The following is a 19698-nucleotide window of genomic DNA, read 5'->3' as shown; positions in this document are numbered from 1 at the left end:
TACAAAAAAATTAGCCGGGCATGGTGGCGGGCACCTGTAGTCCCAGCTACTCGGGAGGCTGAGGAGGCAGGAGAATGGTGTGAACCTGGGAGGCAGAGCTTGCAGTGAGCCGAGATCATGCCACTGCACTGGAGCCTGGGCGACAGAGCGAGACTCTGTCTAAAAAATAAAAATAAAATAAAATAAAATAAAATAAAATAAAATAAAATAAAATAAACCAAAGCCAAGTAGGAGTGGTCCATCACCACTTGAAGTTTCTTGCTAGAAATAAACCAGATTATTTATTGATCTGACATAGGGAAGGGGTTGGAACTAAAGACAACTTTAAGGACCCTAATGCCTCAGTACTTTAAATTTCCTTTTTCAAAAAGTAATGTTTAAGTTTCAAATTGAAGCAAAGAACTGCAAATGGTAACTAAGGCTTTTGTTTTTACCATCAGTCTGTAAGTTTGGCCAGTATAACACGTTTGGGGGCCGTAGGAAGGAAGAATTTAGCAGAAAGAGAACTAGGGTTCTATAAGCACAGGGCCACGGGCAGCTATTTTATCATGTGATCTGTGTGGATTTTGACTTGAACGCAATTCTACAGATAGATTATTTTGTACTTGGGTACCAAAGTCCTCAAGACATAGCTATTTAAGTAGTCACTAAAGAATTTTTATTTTTCTGAGCAGTGCATAGAATTGGATCTGATTGTAGTTTTGCTTTTTAGTAAAAAAGTCCATAGACATTAACCCCAAAACAGAATGACATTTAAATGCTAAAAGATACGTAGTGGTCTGTGGCATCCTTGGCTTTCTGGAATAATAACGACCAAAAGTTTCAGACAATGGAACTGGTAAAAAGAATGAAGTAGATCTGTATGTTCTAACAGGGGGAGTGGCCCAGAAAATATACTTAAGTTAAAAAAAAAAAAAAGATCTACAATGATATATCAAATGATTAGGATAATTCAGTTTTTGTATTAAAAAGCTTTGTATATAGGTATAGATGGTATATAGGTAGAGGTATATAAAATATAAATAATACACATGTTGGTATATGAATAGGAAAAATCTGGAAAGATACAACTATTAATGAACTATTTAGTGGCTACTTCTGAGGAGTTCACCTTTGCGGGGAGGAAGGATATTTTTCTTTTACTTTATCTACTTCTCTGAGGTAGCAATTTAAAAAGTTAAGATCTATTGCACACTTTCTATGTGTCCGACACTCTGCTAATCCTTCTAAATACATAGCATTGTCTTAGCCCTCATAACCCCATGGCTTCCCTAGGATTTCTGTTATACATTCGAGGTGCTTACAGGTTGTAGGTTGCCAGGAAAGGAGATCCAGGTACTTGCCTCGAGCTGCGTTTGCATATCAACCACACCATTGTCATCCAGATGGAGTGTTTATTTAGGATGACTTGTGGGGGCAGGGGCGGGGAGTTGCCAAGCAATTCCCTGCTGCTACCACTGCTCACAACAGTCCAAAGAAGGAAGTGCTATTATTATTCCCTATTATTTCTAAGTGAAGCAACCGAGGCACAGAGAGGTTAAGTAATTTACCCAGTGTCACATAGCTAATAAATAGGTGGGCTCACCTTGTTTCTCTTTTCTCATGGCTCAGAGTCCTGTGCTGTCCATTGTCCAATGTCTGAAATCAGTAGTTTCTTGTCTAGATTTTTAGATATAAGAGGCTAAGTCTAGTTTTTATTAGTCTATCATGGTTTGAGACGGAAATCTATTTATTTATTTATTTATTTTTTAGACGGAGTCTCTCTGTAGCCCAGGCTGGAGTGCAGTGGTGCGATCTCAGCTCATTGCAATCTATCTGCCCCCCACCCCCGCCACCAGGTTCAAGCGATTCTCCTGCCTCAGCCTCCTGAGTAGATGGGATTACAGGTGCCTGCCACAACAGCTGGCTAATTTTTGTATTTTTAACAGAGACGACATTTCGTCTTGTTGGCTAGGCTGGTCTCGAACTCCTGACTTCAAGTGAGAAATCTATTTTGAATCCCTATCCGTTAAGATGCATAGTTTAGGCTCCTAATTTGAATTTGTTACAACAAGACAATATTACTCTCATAATTTTCACAAAAATTCAAAAGTCCAAATGGCCAATAAAAATGTGATCTTTATACATTCTAGAGACATAGAGATTAAAAAAAAACTTTGTTGGAATATATTATCAATGGTGAATGTGGATAACAAATGAGAACAAGCATCTAATGTGTTCGGGGCCTCTGCAACTGATACTAAGTCAGATGTGGCCTTTTATCTGTATGTTTCACCAGAGATTATTTTATGTGACTGTCTTATTTTACTTTTTATTTTTTAACAGGAGAGATTTACAAATAGTGTTTTGGCATCATGGAACGTGTAGGTTGTACTTTAACGACAACTTACGCCCACCCTAGACCAACACCAACCAACTTTCTACCAGCCATCAGTACCATGGCCTCAAGCTACAGGGACCGCTTTCCCCACTCCAATTTGACCCATAGCCTGAGCCTTCCTTGGAGACCCAGCACATACTACAAAGTCGCCTCCAATTCCCCAAGCGTGGCCCCGTACTGCACCAGATCACAGAGGGTGTCCGAGAATACCATGCTTCCCTTTGTTTCCAACAGAACCACTTTCTTCACAAGATACACACCGGATGACTGGTACAGGTCCAATTTAACCAACTATCAAGAGTCCAACACTTCCCGACATAATTCGGAGAAACTAAGAGTGGATACATCTCGCCTGATTCAAGACAAATATCAACAAACAAGAAAAACTCAGGCAGACACAACCCAAAATCTGGGAGAACGTGTCAATGACATAGGGTTTTGGAAATCTGAAATCATTCATGAGTTGGATGAAATGATTGGAGAGACAAATGCACTTACTGATGTGAAGAAAAGACTGGAGCGGGCTTTGATGGAGACTGAAGCCCCTCTTCAGGTAAGACCTTATGATAGAACACACTGAATTTTTATGATTATAACCCACTGGTTGAGTTACTGTGGTTATTTATTTATTGACTTATGTTTTACTTCATCTGTTGAAGCCAACCCCCTATCAATAAATCTGTGACTGTTTTCAGCAATGGCAAAACCACTGCCTATTTTTTTTTTAAATGCATTATATACTTTAAGAACAACCACTTTAAGAGGTAATTCTGAATGCAAAGCAAAGAAGACCAATTAAATAGACACCATTAGGACACACAATGTTTTAAGGTGAACACGCCATCTGTATTCCGCCATTCTCACATTGCTATAAAGAAATACCTGAGACTCAGTAATTTATAAAGAAAAGAGGTTTAATTGGCGCCTGGTTCTACAGGCTGTACAGGAAGCATAATGGCTTCTGCTTCTGGGGAGCCCTTAGGAAGCTTCCAATCATGGCAGAAGGCAAAGGAGGAGCAGGTATCTTAAATGAAGGGTCCAGGGGCAAGAGAGAACGGGGGAGGGTGCCACACACTTTTAAACAACCAGATCTCCAGAGAACTCATTCACTATCCTGAGAACAGCGCCGAAGGGACGGTGCTAAACCATTCATGAAGGATCTACCCCCACGATCCAATCACCTCCCACCAGGCCCCACCCCCAACATTGTGGATTACAATTTGACTTGAGATTTGTGCAGGGACACAGATCCAAACCATATGACCATCTTATCTCTTAAATAGGCTGCTTCATCATTGCTGTCACTAAATTAAAATAAACAATATTTGAGACCAAAACCTTTATTTTTTTAGTCTGTATCATGAAACGCCTCCTGTATATATGTTATGATTCCCTTTTAGGATGTAGTGACATCATCAAATGAGACCATCTTAGGGCATGGAATTTGCTTGATTAAATAGAAAAATGGTGCTGAGATTGGCCAGTTGCCATAGTAATGTAGGGAGCATTTCAGTTGGTTACTGGCCTCTGACCAGGCTTCTGAATGGGCTCAGGTCACCTCTAACCCTCAGGCTATGCGATGGGCCCTCCAACCCCATTCCACCCTCCTCCATTGAAAGAAGACATTCCATGTTTGAAGATGTGCAAATTATACAAATTATTTTAGAAGTATACATTTTGATGAGCACAGCTAGCACCATTTTTCCTCATGTTTGCATGACTTATTCCCATGTGATGAGCACTTGCTGTAGTTCTCTACCACAGCATCTGTAGTAGAAGAGTTTAGAGAATCAAGGAGCTGAAAGTCTGGTGAGCGGAGGAGTTTCTTGGGGCACCCTGCGCACTGTCACTTCCTACTGCAACCCCTCCCCGCTGTACAAAAACACATACAGAGGCACACAATCCCCAGGAATCCTGAGAATGGCTGATAGTTCACTAATGATCTTTTTGAATTAATTCATCATAAATTTTTGTTTAGAATCAGAAGGGCTTCTACGCCTTCCCTGAGCATCAGATTACTCTGAAGTATTGGTTTATTCTACAGTTCTTCCTACCCTTGACTGCCTTTAAGAATTGAAAATATCCTTAAAATGATAGCTACTTTCTTAATTTCCAGTGGAGATTCAGTTTCTTCTCTTAGTAACCCTTTCAGTGATGACTACTTTCAGAAAGATGGTTCTAATTTGAATTTTTTCTGCAGTTTTTGTCCAGATGTTCTTGTGTGTTTGAAAATTTATTGTCAACACAGTATTAGAGGGTCCTTTTTAAATTGAGTCACATGAACAGATAAGCCTCCAAAGAGAAAATATAGGCGATCAACAAATATAAGAAAAAATGTTAAAGCTTAATGATAAAATACAAATTAAATCAATGAAATAACTACCTTTGGCCTATCAAATTTGCAATAATGAAAATGCATGACATTTAGAGCTGGCGTAAGAGCAGCAAATGGGCACTTTCATATATTACTGGTGGGGCTATGGATTGGTAGAAATTTCCTGGGAAGCAGTTTGGTAATACATATCAAAATAATCAGAGTTCCCCTCTACCCGTTAATTCTTCTTCTGGTAAGTGATACTATTAAACAATTAGAGATTCACTTAAAGTTTTTGTTCAGTGATAGTATATCTGGATTATAGTATACATACCATTATATTTTATGCTTTTAAAAATTTAATATTATTTGGGAGTCCTATGTTATGGAATAGTCTTCGAGAAAAGCATTTTAACTGCTACATAATGTTCTTTCATACATAATTTATTGTTAGAAATTTAAGCTGTTTTCCATTAGAGCCACTAACATACTTTATCTCAAAGAATATTTCATGATTTGGGTCTACTGTTTAATGTCAATACTAAAAAGCATAATATAAAGTTGTGAGAACATTATAACCTCTATCTTGTTAAGACGAACAAAGTAGTAATAGGAGTATGGCTAAATCATATTTTCTACTTTTCTATATTTTTTCTCTTTAGTGAGTAAAGGCATATTATTTTGATAATTGGGAAAACAATCAATGACACTTTAAAAATAATCACTGGGACTTTTGGCAACACAAAAATTTTGATGTTTTTAAAGATAATCATTCATTTCTTCCTATTCTCAGTAGAAAATATTTAGAAATAATATCTTGAAGACTTGTGTCTCATGTTACTGAACTATCTCACCTGAAGAAAGTAATGCCAACTAATGCCCTCAAATGCTAATTTGCGGGGATCAAGTAAATGCCATCTACTTCATTTTGTCAACTTTCCAAGATAGGAATATTTTCAAACTATTTTGAAGAGCTACCTCTTTACCTTTTAACTAGCAGCAGAGATTCATTTAGTTGTTACAGTCTGTTTCAGGCTAGATTTTCACAAAAGGGCTGGAAAAGTTGGTATTGGGAGTATCTATTGACTTATTTTTGAAACAAATTATTAGAGCTGCTAGTCATGGATTGTCAGTTTTTATTAGTGCTTTCCATTATCTGTGTATCTGTAGGTAGCCCGAGAATGTCTATTTCATCGAGAAAAGAGAATGGGAATCGACCTAGTTCACGATGAAGTTGAAGCACAACTGCTGACGGTAAATGTGGGGGAAATGCATCAGTCACAGGCAGCTTAGTTGTAAATGTATGTTGAATATGTAGAAGCAAAAAAGGATGTTACATAAAATGACTTATAAGTAAAGCATTATCGTATCAGATGCTGATAGCATTTAGCAAAGACATGTTTTTCTTGGTTATAACATATATTCAATGAGAATATGAAAATGCAAACGAGTAAATAAAGATGAAAATCACTTGAAGCTTTATTAGACAGAAATCACTATTAATTTTGGAGTATTTCAGTCTTTTTATTAATCATGCTTTTTTTTCTACCATTCCGTTGCATCTTTTTATTAATCATTCTTAGATAGGCACCACCTAACTCACACAATGATGCTCAGATATGTCTCCAAGATTCAGATCATTGTATTTATAAATTTGAATAGGGTATACTCATTTAAAATTATATTGGGGTAATTTTTACCATATCATTAGATACTTTTTTTTTTTTTTGAGACAGAGTCTTGCTCTTATCGCCCAGGCTGGAGTGCAATGGCACAATCTCGGCTCACTGCAACCTCTGCCTCCTAGGTTCAAGCAATTCTCCTGCCTCAGCCTCCCAAGTAGCTGGGATTACAGGCACCTGCCACCATGCCTGGCTAATTTATGTATTTTTAGTAGAGATGGGATTTCGCCATGTTGGCCAGGCTGGTCTTGAACTCCCAACCTCATGATCTGCCTGCCTCAGCCTCCCAAAGTGCTGGGATTACAGACTTGAGCCACTGCACCCAGCCTGGATATTCTTTTAAGACATGATTTTTAATGGTTAGGCAGTGTTCTACAATGTAAAGGTGCTATCTTTTTTTTTTTTTTCAATCAATCATCTCTTATATAGTTAGGTTGCTTCCCTATCCCACTCCTTTGTTTTCCTATTTTAATAGCACTGCAGTATACAAAAATATTATTACTGATAACTGTAGTTACTCCTGATTATTTCTTTAGAATATATTTTGGGAAGTGTAATTGTTGTGCCAAAGGTTCTATGCATTTGAAAGCTTTTGATATGTAGCCAAATTGCCATCCAGAAACTTACAGTTGCATCTGCACTACTCTGCTGATCTCCCGCTAATCTCTCTTCCACCTTCCACCAATTAAATCTGGTTTAGTTCTAATTTCTCTGATCTTCACTTCTTAGACTTGCTACCACAGATCTCTATCATTTCTTAAGATTTCAAGTATCATGTACCTGGAGCCCTTCCCAATCTCTTTTTTCAGCCCAGGCACTTTATAAAGCATTAGTTCTTCATTCCTAAGTACTTGCCAAACATTTTTTAGCTTGGTAACTTTTTTTCTTCTGGTTCACATTCATAAAGCCTGCTTAGCCTATTGCCTGTCCCTTTCTATTGATGGTACCAGTGTTCCTTCATCACCATGGCTTGCTGCCCGTTGTCTCCCAAACTCCTTTAATCCATTTCCAGCTCTTTAAAAAAATACCTGGTTGATAAGAAATTCCAAAGCACCTTTCCTTCCCCAAGTTTCCCTTGGATCTATCCTATACATTCTCATGAGTTTCTTCCCTCTGCTATGAACTCTTCCTTGACTCCCTAATTTCTGCAGGAGAAAAATCCACTAAGGCCTCTCTTGTCTGACTCCCTCCTCATTTCTCAGCTTCATTTCCCTGTCTAATTTCACAGAATTTCTGCTGCAGTGAATCCATCTTCTCTGTCCCTGCACAAGCTTTGCAGGGTCACACCTCTTCGCCTCTTTTTAATTGGTCCTTGGTGAGAATTGAGTCCTTGGTAGGAAAGTAAGTATGACAAGGTAGCAGCCGAGTCCTCAGAGTAGTTTTATCCCCACACGGCATCAACACCCTGCTTTAACATCACTTACATTTTCTTAGTGACCCATGACATTAAAGATGACAAGCAGACTTTTTTCTTTGCTCTTTCCTTTCCTCTACTGTCTGGTTCTCTGAGAGAACTCTGAGTTGAAATAATATACTCAGGAAAGCTTTGGCTACTACAGAAAGGTTTTGTAATCTACTGTAAAAGTCACTGTCCCTATTGCCGGACAGGAGTGGTTAGAAATAGAACATTCTGAATGAAATAGTTTTGCAGTGATGGGTCTCCACTCTTCTGTTTCTTCTTTCCCAGGCTTTGATGAATCTCACAAGCCTTAAAATAATCTGTCACCTACTTTGTCATCCTAACTGGATAGGAATTTACCATCATCTCTCCTGTGGTCTTTTGTTCTCACTAATCCTGAGATGTTCTGTATGAAATAAATTACAAGGCAGTTCTAACAGCTTAACTTCATCACCTTGCCCACAAACACACTATGATATTTCCAACAGATTTTTTTTGGTACTTGGCTACATTTAGTGTTTCCATTACTTGAGTAGTGGCTCTCAAACCTGACTACATGTTAGAATCACCTGGCAAAGATTTTAAAAATATCAATGGCTGGGTCCCACACCCAGAGATGCTGATTCAAATCTGCAGTGGGGACTAGGCATTGATCTTTTTAAAATATCCCCCAGGTAATCTTAATGACTAGGCAGAGTAAAGAACAAGTGCCTCAGAAATTCAAAATATTGCTGAAAGAAATTAAAGATGACCTAAATAAATGGGCATATCATGTCTATGGATGGGAACATCCATAAACATGGATGTTCGTGTTAAGATGGCAATATTTCTCAACTAGATTCATAGACTCAACACAATTCCTATCAAAATCCCAGCTGACTTCTTTGTAAAAATTGGTGAGCTGATCCTAAAATTCATATAGAAATTCAAAGGATAGTGAATAGCCAAAATAATATGGAAAAAGAAGAAAGTTGGAGGACTCACACCTCCTGATTTCAACACTTACTATAAAGCTGCAATATGTAAGACAGTGTAGTACCTGCCTAACAATGGACACAATTTGAGAGTTGAGAAATAAACCATCACATTTACCATCTATTGATCTTTGACAATGATGCCAAGGCAATGCAATGGGAAGAGTGTCTTCAACAAATGGTATTTGGACAATTGGATATCCACATGCGAAAGAATGAAGTTGGATTCCAAATCAAACATACAAAATAGTTAAGTCAAAAGGGATCAAAGACCTATACATAAGAGCTAAAACTGTAAGACTTTTAGAAAAGAACATAGGCATGAATATTCGTGACATTGGAATAGGCAACAGTTTTTTAGATGTGATATCAAAAGCACAAACAACACAAGGAAAAGCAGATAAACTGGACATCATCAAAATTAAAAATGTATTTTGAAGAACACTAGCAACAAAGTGAAAAGAGTTGTATGTAGAATATATAAATAACTGTCACAATTAAAAAAAATCAACCCAATTAAAAATGGGCAAAGGATCTCACAATGAAATATGACTTCATACCCATGAGGATAGTTCTAATAAAAAATATAGAAAATAACAAGTTGGCTGGAATGTGGAGGAATTAGAACCCTAATACATTGCTGATGGGAGTGTAAAATGAGGCAAATCCTTTGGAAAATGCTTAAGCATGAATGACCCTGTATGATCCATAGGATCCAGTAGTTCTACTCCCAAGCATCATTCCAGGAGAAAAGAAAACATATGCCCAAACAAAAATTTGTGCATGGATATTTATAACAACATTATTCATAGCAGCCAAAAAGTAGAAACAACTCAAATGTCTATCAGCTGATGAATGGAAAAGTAAAATGTAAGATAGTCATACAACAGGTTATTCTGCCAAAAAAAAGGAATGATGTGCTTATCTGTTGCTATAACATGGATGAATATTGAAAACATTATGCTACATGAAAGAAGCCATCACAAAGGACCACATATGGTAATTCCATTTATATGAAATTTCCAGAATAGGGAAATCTATAGAGACTATAAGTAGGTTTGTGGTTGCTTATTATGAAAGGAGGCTTGGGGGATTGGAAATTGTGGGTGACAGCTAATGGGCACATGATTTCTTTGGAAGGTAATGGAAATGTTTTAAATTTGGTTCCGGTGATGATTATACAACTCGGCGAATGTACTAAAAACCATCAAACTGCACACTTTAAACAAGTGAATTATATGGTCTATGAATTATATCTCAACAAAGCTGTTTCTTAAAAACAAGAACCACTGCATTAGAGGTTTCTAGTTTCTAGGTCAGTAGCAGGGGGGTCCTTTATCTCAAAAACCTGACAGTGGTGGCTTTATCTCAAAAAACTGAATGTGCAATTAGAGTAATGGTTCATGAATTGAGGGAGGAGCTTCGGTCATTGCCAGTTAATTCAAGTAGTGAATGCATTCTGTGGCTTACTCAAGGTATTGATATTGGCATATGTTTTATTTTTTACCAAAGTAGGTCTTAATTTTTAGAATAATTAAATGTGTATTAGCAAAGGAAAGAAGTAGCCTTAAAAGACCTACCTTTGAAAAACATGGATGCAACGAAATATTTTCTTATGAATTCTGCTGAATTCTGTTGACTATTACGTTCAGTCGGTGATAATTGATAAATTCTTACAGGATGGCTTCTGTTGGGGAGGCAATCATGGTACTATCTTCTTAGCACTCCCAGACCGTACTGACTCCTTGGACTTTGGAGCCAAATGAACCTGCAAAGTCATCTACCCTGCAGCCTGCCCTGGTCTGGCTCTGGGATGGGGACTGAGACAGCTGCTCAGAACTCAGGCTGGGGCTCTGGGCCTGGCCCCAGCTGGCCAGTTTCCTTCCCACAAGAGGCTTTTCCTTCCTCCATGCTGCAGAAGCAGAAAGCAAAAATACTCCAGCCTCAGACGTTTGTTGAGAATGCAACCAATGAGTTCCAGAGATGTCAGACCTGCTGCTGGAGAGACGTTTCAGCATTTCAGCCCAGTCCAGTCCAAGGCGGTTCTCCTCTAAGGACAGGATTGAATAGAAATCCTGCAACCAGCACGGAAAGAGGATCTGGGTGGGCTCTCACCCCCAGCAATAAGAACTATACTCCTCACCTAGGTTTCTGCCTCTAAGCAGGTTGTGGGACCAGAAGCTTCTCACAAGCAGCCATGCCAGAAAGGGTAGCTGATGGGTCATCTTGGCTGAACTCAGGAATAAATACTGAGAATGCAGATCTCTAATGAAAGGAAATGCCTCTGCTCACTATACTCAAGGATAAGTGAGAAGACAAGAATATTTGGTGAATCTATCATTAAAAAGCATTGTATGTGGAAATGAAATATCTGCACCTATAGGTGGTATTTGCTTATTAGCTAGATTCAATTCAGGCTTGCAGCTTGACTTTGAAGATTTGATTTCAGTAGCCCATTCACCTGTTAGACAGGAGGTTTACCCACTTTCCCAAGATGTAAAAAGACTCAGTTAACACAGGTAAATAGAACCACATATAAAGCCTCAACCTGTGGGAGCAGGGTCTGGGTTTAACAAGGACATCCAAGTAATGATTTTATATCCACAACTCAGGCCACAGCGCGGGGTCAGCACTCATCCACATTTGTGGCTGCAACTCAATGTTTCTGTGATGTGGTGCATATTCCTCAGCTGACAGTATAGCAGAGCCCACATCTTACATGAGGATTCAGTTCTAAAGTCATGAAAATCACCCATGTTACAATATTACGAGACCTAATACTTAACTGAACACTCAGCATCTACTAGGCACATAATTATCTACCCAATAGCCTGGAAAGATGGGTATTATTACCATTAGTTTATTACTTGCCTCTGGTCAGGTTTAGCAAGTAGCAAAGACATGTGAACCAGGGCTGTCTGACGCCGAAGCTTGTGGCTTTTGTTAACATTTTAATTTTGTAAAAAATGTGTATATATTCATGGGGTACAAGTGCGATTTCACTTCATTGATACATTGCACTGTGGTGAAATCAGGACCTTCAGAGCATCTATCACTGGAGCAACGCACATTTAACCACCAAGCAACCTCCCAACATCCCACCCTCCTCCCTCCCCTCCTTTGAGTCCCACTATTCATCATTCCACACTCTCAAGGCATATGTTTTCAGCCACTGTTCCAGCCAAGACCTGGGAGTGTGCACAAGAAGGGATTTTCACTTGAGGTGATGGGAAGTAAAAGGCTGTGAAGTCTCTATTCCACCTCCCCAAGCCCCACCTCCCAAGAGGTGAACTGTAACGACAGATGCTTCATGAACATTTCAGCCGCTCAAATAGTAGGATGCATTCAAGGTTCTTCAAGCAACTGGACATGATTCCATGTTTTGTTTTCATCCAAAGCCCCACAGATGAAACTGCATTTTAATCACTTTAGTCACTGCAATCTGAGAAGCTCAATGAAGTCAGTGTGACCCTGTAACTCATGGGGCCTGTAATTTCTCCCTAAGTCAGGGATCTGGAAATGTTGGACCCATTTTCCAGGCTCCTAAATGTACGGTTCACTTCCTTAGGTGTGAGGCAGCAGCCAGAGATCTAGTTAGATGAAGGCTCTTCCTACGCTTCTGCTTTCTGTGTGTATCCCCCACCTTTTTGCAACTTTCTTCTCTTGGGCAGGTGAGGGAATGCTTTGTCCTTCTTTTGCTGTATTGTGGTATTTCAAGGCCACCTCCATGTATGGGTACAGATGGAAGGATAAGTTAGCACTGGGGACAGTGCCAGAGGCCTTTGGCTTTGGGCTTTTTGTATTCTTGTGAACCCTTCTGCCTCCAACCATCTGGCATTCATCATATGACATTATTTAAATTCACATATAAAAATTATTGTTGGCCGGGCATGGTGGCTCACGCCTGTAATCTCAGCACTTTGGGAAGCCGAGGCGGGTGGATCACAAGGTCAGGAGATCAAGACCATCCTGGATAACATGGTGAAACCCCATCTCTACTAAAAATACAAAAAATTAGCCAGGCATGGTGGTGGGCGCCTGTAGTCCCAGCTACTCAGGAAGCTGAGGCAGGAGAATGGCGTGAACCCGGGGGGTGGAGCTTGCAGTGAGCCGAGATCGCGCCACTGCACTCCGGCCTGGGAGATAGAGCAAGACTCCATCTCAAAAAAAAAAAAAATTATTGTTGTAGGAATTTTTTACAGCAAGAGTCTCATTAAATGCATTTTTTTTCCCTCACTAAAAGTCCTAAGAATTTCCACTCTGTGCTTTGTGTACACAAGGGATAAAAACACAATTTGGGGTTTTAAATGGTCCTTTCTAAGCAGGACTCCATGCATCTTTTGTTAAAATTTCATCAAAGTACACACAGGTACACATACTCATGAGGCACTGAGAAAGATAAAAACTGAACACAAAAATACTAAGACTGATGCACAACCTACTGTGAGGCTGGGAAATCTTGCCTGCTTGTCAAGGCAGGGAGAATGTTGGTGTCAATGTGTGAAGGGAATTTAGCTCTTCCTTTATTCCATTAATTCAGATACCAAACAACCAGACAGTAGGGTGATCACTCTAGACATATTTGATATTTTTATACTAAACGATTAAACAATAAAAGAAGAACAATACATAGGTGAGTAATACTTCATATTGGAGTGGTGAAGGCCTTTATTGTCTAAGTAACAAAGGCAGAAACCAAAAGGAGATATATTTGATAGATTTGATATCATAGAAATCAGAAACATCTATATCAAAAGCACCACGCACATTTATAAAACCAAAGGCAAATTGATTAAAAAAATTGTGACATATATAACACAAAAGACTGAATTTTAAACATGTTTATAACCCTCACAAATGAAAAAGAAAAAATAAATGACAGAAAAAGTGGACAAGCATGTGAACAGGTAGTTGACACAAGCAAAAAAGGCAAATGGTGAACAAATGAATACTCATAATATCAGCTTGCAAATTTAGGCAGGTTTGCTGCTTTTGGTGGGGTGGTGGGGGTGTGGTTCCATCACACTGGTGAAGATGGAAAGGAGTAACAGTGGCCACTTGCTGGGCAAGACAAGAAAACACGTGTTCATTTGTTGTTGTAAATGAGTACCACTTTTCTGAAAGGCAATTTGGCTGTACTTGTCAAAACCTTGGAAAAAGGCATACTCTTCGGTGGTGTCTAAATATTGATCAAGGTCATTCATCACAGTACTTTTTAATGTCATGAGAAAATGTTCAAGTTTAAAATGTCCCAAAGCAGTATGCATAGTATGACAACTTTTTGGCTGAGAAAATGATAACAGTAACAATGTGCACTTTTCTAATGTGCATACATAATGTGCTACATTTTCTAACGTGCATAGAAATTTCAAGGGGGAAATAAATGTTGATTTAATAGTCTCTGACATGTTATGGGCTAGTGGATACATCCTAGCAGCATCAAAAGGCAACGTGTGTGGTCCAGTAGAGAGGCCTGGCTAGCACAGGTGTTTGTACAAGGACAGGAGCTGGGCTGCAGTACACAAGCAGGACCGGAGGGCGACCTCCCAGGGTGGAAGTCAGCCTCCATGTTTGGACCCAAGCACTGTCTTCTGGAGGATACATGTACTGCCAGAGAGAAGCTTCTTTTGGTTGTGCTTTTTTCCTCCCTGACTTACTTTGTCTTGGAAGAACAGCTGTTATAGAAGAAGCCGTGCATTTAAATTTGACCTTGTATATTACCAGAATTTTTTTTTTTTACTGTTTTAATTAAGGACAGGGATAAAAAGAGAGAAAAATCCTAAAATTTTAACCATGTCCCCACTTGTTCCATAATATAATTTCCCCATGGACCGACCTATGAAGGCTGCATCTTAGTCTGATATTTAGATTCCAGTATCATGGAGCATGTAGATAAATAAGTGGAAGCAAAATTGTTTTCTTGTTTAACTTCACAGTATTTTAAGAAACAAAATTTTCCTTCATTGATGTTTGTTACATTGTTGATTTTGAGTGTTATATTCAATAATGAAAACATTAATATGTTTTTTTTCCAATTGAGTAGGAAGTTGATACTATTCTGTGTTGTCAAGAAAGAATGAAGCTACATTTGGATAAGGCTATTGCCCAACTTGCGTAAGAGCTTTATGTCTCTATACAATTCAAAATCTATCATTGAACTATACTTTCATGCTCCTCATTGAAATTTCTCTTAATTTCTTATAAGGACACACACACAGGCATATACACATATTTTTATTCAAATGTTAAGATGATTACTTGATACCCCAGCTACTCTGATGTGATTCTTACACGTTGTATGCCTGTATCAAAATATCACATGTACCCCATAAATGTATATACCCATTATGTACCCATAAACATTTTTTAAAATAATACAAATAGACATTTTGGGAAATTAAGGCAGGAAAATCGCTTGAGCCCAGGAGTTCAAGGCCAGCCTGGGCAATGTAATGAGACCTCTGCTCTACAGATAAAAGATACAAATTAGCCAGGCATGGTGGCGGGTGCCTGTGGTCCTAGCTACTTAGGAGGTTGAGGTGTGAGGATTGCTTAAGCCCAAGAGTATGAGGCTGCAGTGATGAGCTCTGATTGTGCTACTGCACTCCAGCCTGGGCAACAGAGACAGACTCTGTCTCAAGAAAAATATATTTTTAAAAAATAAGTACATGGAGTACTTGCTGTAAATTTTTATTTAAATAAATAATTCTGAGATGCTGTGGGAAGGATTTCTGCCCTCACTTGAGTGTAACTAAGATTTCTTTTAACTCAAAAGACTGGCATTTTTTTTACATAAGAGATTGACTTATACTTGTTCAGCTCTAACATTTGAAAAAGTAATGAGTGGTCGTTTACTTGAATGTTTATCTTCCATACCTCCTTAAAGATCTGGCCTCTGCGGCGGCCGGGCGTGGTGGCTCACACCTGTAATCCCAGCACTTTGGGAGGCCGGGGCGGGCAGATCACGATGTCAGGAGATCGAGACCATCCTGGCTAACACCATGAAAGTCCGTCTCTACTAAAAATACAAAAAATTAGCCGGGCATGGTGGCAGGCGCCTGTAGTCCCAGCTACTCGGGAGGTTGAGGCAAGAGAATGGCGTGAACCTGGGAGGTGGAGCTTGCAGTGAGCTGAGATTGCGCCACTGCACTCTAGCCTGGGCGACGGAGCGAGACTCCGTCTCAAAAAAAAAAAAAAAAGAAAAAAAAAAAAAGAGATCCGACCTCTGCAATGATTACACCCTTGCAATGCTCCCTGCGTCCCACAGCATTGTAACTGTTAACCCATCCTATTCCTCACTAGAATACACATTCTTCCAGGGGATGGGCTCTCTTTTCTTGGTGATAGTAGGTACTTAATATTTATGGTTGGGGGTGGGATGAGGAGTTAGGAGGGGGAAGAATAATAATAAAGAAGGTCTCAGGCAATGATCACAGCTGTCAGCATAGGAAAAGTATTGGCCGAGACTGTTGGCCAACATTAAGTAGAAAGATCAGTGCCATTTGCTTATGGTCACGGAAGGAAGTAGTGTCGAATATGCCACCCAATAAGAGAGGTGATTATGTGTGTTATAAAAGCGTCCATGCTGCTCATTTAATTTGCCCATCCTGTGCGTCAGGATCTGAACACCACGAAGGTTGGAGAGGTTTGTACGCTGAGATTCTCTCGAGCTGTGACTGGAAGGGTTTTTTAATTTGGAAATTGGTGAGGAGAAGCAAAAGAGTAGTTAAGGATGACTGTACGTGGTTTCTGCTCCCCAGGAATTTTAGAAACATGTTTAGTGTGGTTCAAAGCATTGGTTCTAGTTCCTAATTCGCATTTTATTTCGTAGTCTGGAATCTGCTGCCCATCTTTTGTGTTCTTGGCTGTTCTTGGCCTAGATTGTTCTACCGTGGAACAGCCTCATCTCATGTAAATCCCTGTTACAAATTGCCTCAATACTGGCTGTATTGCAGACCTTTGCAGAAAGTTCTGTGTGTTTGTACCTGTTTGGAATCTTTGTTGTTGATCCTTTAAGGAGATTGGCTTTCCTTTAATACACAGTGGGCATAATGCCTACCTCACTTCCCGGGATGGCTTCTCCAGGATTTGTGGGGCGGCCACTGTGATCTGTCCAGGGCAGGTGACTGGAAGAGAGTTTATCAACTACACTTGTTTCAGAAGGAGCAATGAAACCCTCAGCTTGGATCTCAGCTGAAAATAGAATCTCATTAGGCACTAACAGGGCAGCCAAGGTCTTCCCATCTTGGGCTGTAAGACGTGGTGATGGGATGCTGCCTTAAATGCCTGTCCAAGCAGACTCCGAGGCCAGATCAGAGGGTGTCCAGGCAGCCCCAGTTCTAAAGTCATAAAAATCACCCATGTTACAATATTACTAGACCTAATACTTACTGAGCACTTAGCATCTGTTAGGCACATAATTATCTTCCGGACAGCCTGGAAAGACGGGTATTATTACCATTAGTTTATAACTTTCCTCTGGTCAGGTTTAGCAAGCAGCAAAGACATTTGAACCAGGGCTGTCTGATGCTGAAGCATATGGCTTTTGTTAACATTTTAATTTTGTAAAAAATGTGTATATATTCATGGGGTACAAGTGCAATTTTGCTTCATTGATATATTGCACTGTGGTGAAATCAGGACTTTCAGAGTATCTATCACTGGAGCACCGCACATTGTAACCACTAAGCAACCTTCCAACATCCCACCCTCCTCCCTCCCCTCCTTTGAGCCCCACTGTTCATCATTCCACACTCTCAAGGCATATGTTTTCAACCACTGTTCCAGCCAAGACCTGACAGTGTGCACGAGAAGGGATTTTCACTTGAGGTGATGGGAAGTAAAAGGCTGTGAAGTCTCTATTCCACCTCCCCAAGCCCCACCTCCCAAGAGGTGAACTGTAACAATAGATGCTTCATGAACATTTCAGCCCCTTCTCTAACAGGGTCTCAGCTTAAGACAGGAAGCTTGTGGGACATCTTGGTCCCAGACCAAAGGAGAAAGGCCTTCTAGTCCTAGAATTTCAGCATAATCACCTAAGGCAAGAGCCTCAGCACAGAAGTAGCAAGGGAAGGGAGCTTTTTCCTTTTTCATCCTTCGCACATGTATACTGTCTTAGAATTCACAAAGTGCAGATCATTTGCATGTCGCTACTCTCATTTACACTTTACAAAGAAGAAAAACAGCTTTGAGAGGTCAAGTGATTTGCTTGAAAGCACAGGCTAAGTTGAAGGGAACCTGCAGCTAGAACTGACTCATTCCATTCAACACAGCCTTTACTGAGTGAACGGCTTTGCTCTACCAAAACCATTTTTAGGTGCTGAGAATATAGAAATTCCCAAGCTCATTCAGCTATCCTACTTTTTCAAATACTGGTTATCTGTCAGTGTCTCCCTACTTTTTATCTCTAGCCTAGATGTCTCTTTCAAATTCCAACAACCTCCTTCATGTCTCCCATGTAGATGTTCAGTGAACACTCAAGTTTACTATGTCAACTGAACTTCCATCTTCTCCCCTAGCTTCTCCCTCCCCAGCCAACCCCCTATCTTAGTTGATGGAATTCCATTATTCCAACGACTCAAGCTCTTTTTTTTTTTTTTTTCTCACTGGTGTTCAATTTCATAGGAGATTCTCTTGGTTCTATCTTCAAACCATATCCAGAATCTGAATACTTCTTCTTGCTTCCTTCACTTTCATCCTCTTGGTCCAAGCCGCCTTCATCTCTCACCTGAGTAACTGCAGTGGCCCCCTAATGGGTCTTCCTGCCCCCGGCAGTCTGTTCTCAGCCCAGCACCAGAATGATCCTTTTAAATTGTAAGTCAATGGCCTCCAATTTTACTCGAAGGAAAACCTGATTCATTCCCATGTCCATTAGGGCCCTGCATGATCTGATTCCTCCTTTTTTATGTCTTTGCTCAATGTCACCTGGTGAAACCTATTCTGGCCATCCTCTTTAAAATCATAACCACAGTCCTGGTCTCTTTTCTCCTGCTTTGTTTTTAGCATTGTTCTTCGAACCACACAAATTGCCGATTCATTGAATGTGCTGTCTCCTCCCAGAAACATGTCGGCTCCTTAGAGAAGAGATGTTGGTGGTGTCCACTGACGCATCCCAGGCTTGCAGAATGGTGTCTGCCACATAGGAGGCACTCAATAATTATTTGTCGAATGAAGTATTCCATGTGGCTCACCTGTCATCTATGCCTGCCCCCAGGGTCTGTCTTTGGTAATAAGCTGTGGGTCCCCTGTCTGCCTGGCAGTGCAGGCAAGACCATACATCTCAGAGCTTACTGAGGCCTCTTCCTTCCAGCAGGGTGGCTGCTGGAGTGTGTGAGCCTGGGTGGACCATTAGTTCCCGATCTCTGCTGAAGCCCTCTCTCACTCCTGCCCTGGAGGTTAATTTTGATCCTTGGTTTTTATCTCCTGGCAAACTTCTTAGCCACAGCATGACCACAAACCAAGGTTACCAATGGATGGCAGGAGGCTCGGCTATAAAGGCCTCATGATTTCTTGGGGATTTATATTCAAATAATGGAGGAAAAGGGAGCTGAGATATAGAAGAGGAAAAGGAAAAGGAAAAGGAAGGAATGGAAGGCACAGATGTGGACAGATTACTTTGAACCCGTGTCCTGTCTGGAAGAGTTTGTGTGTTTTAGGGAGATGGGCCCCAGCTGGGGCTGCAGATCCTGGACCCCTGTTTATCTTCACCTGCTCTACCCACTTCCATCCCACCCTATGAAAGGAGAAGTGTAGACAAGGTGGGAGTTAGGGTCCCAGTGACGTAGAGGTATGGGCATATCCAGAGAGTGCTCGTTTTGACTGAGAAATTGAACGCTGTGTGAAGAGGGAGAGATGGTGAGAGCAACAGTGAGAGAGGTCCCAATATGGAAGGGCACTCATGTGTCCTTGCAGGACATTGTCACCTGAGTGTGAAGCTCCACTTCCCGACT

At 40.2% G+C, this 19698-nt stretch overlaps 1 protein-coding gene across 7 annotated transcripts in view; it reads left to right on the top strand.

Annotated features, from left to right (window-relative positions):
- Positions 1-19698, top strand: part of TEKT3 (tektin 3) — a 39860-nt gene that overhangs the window by 9732 nt on the left and 10430 nt on the right. For 4 of the 7 annotated variants that reach the window (XM_017024954.2, XM_011523989.2, NM_031898.3 and 1 more), the window contains 3 exons: positions 2326-2933; positions 5865-5948; positions 14793-14863. In XM_017024954.2, the coding sequence (XP_016880443.1) occupies positions 2355-2933; positions 5865-5948; positions 14793-14863 (734 nt within the window). In that variant the 5' untranslated portion in view covers positions 2326-2354. Of the gene's footprint in view, positions 1-2325; positions 2934-5864; positions 5949-10428; positions 12606-14792; positions 14864-19698 lie in introns of those variants that run through there. The other 3 variants (XM_011523990.3, XM_017024955.2, XM_017024956.2) reach the window with 3 other exon arrangements.

The sequence above is a fragment of the Homo sapiens genome, chromosome 17 (genome assembly GCF_000001405.40).
Source record: "Homo sapiens chromosome 17, GRCh38.p14 Primary Assembly".
Taxonomy (NCBI): Eukaryota; Metazoa; Chordata; class Mammalia; order Primates; family Hominidae; genus Homo; species Homo sapiens.
This window is presented reverse-complemented; position numbering and strand designations above follow the sequence as displayed.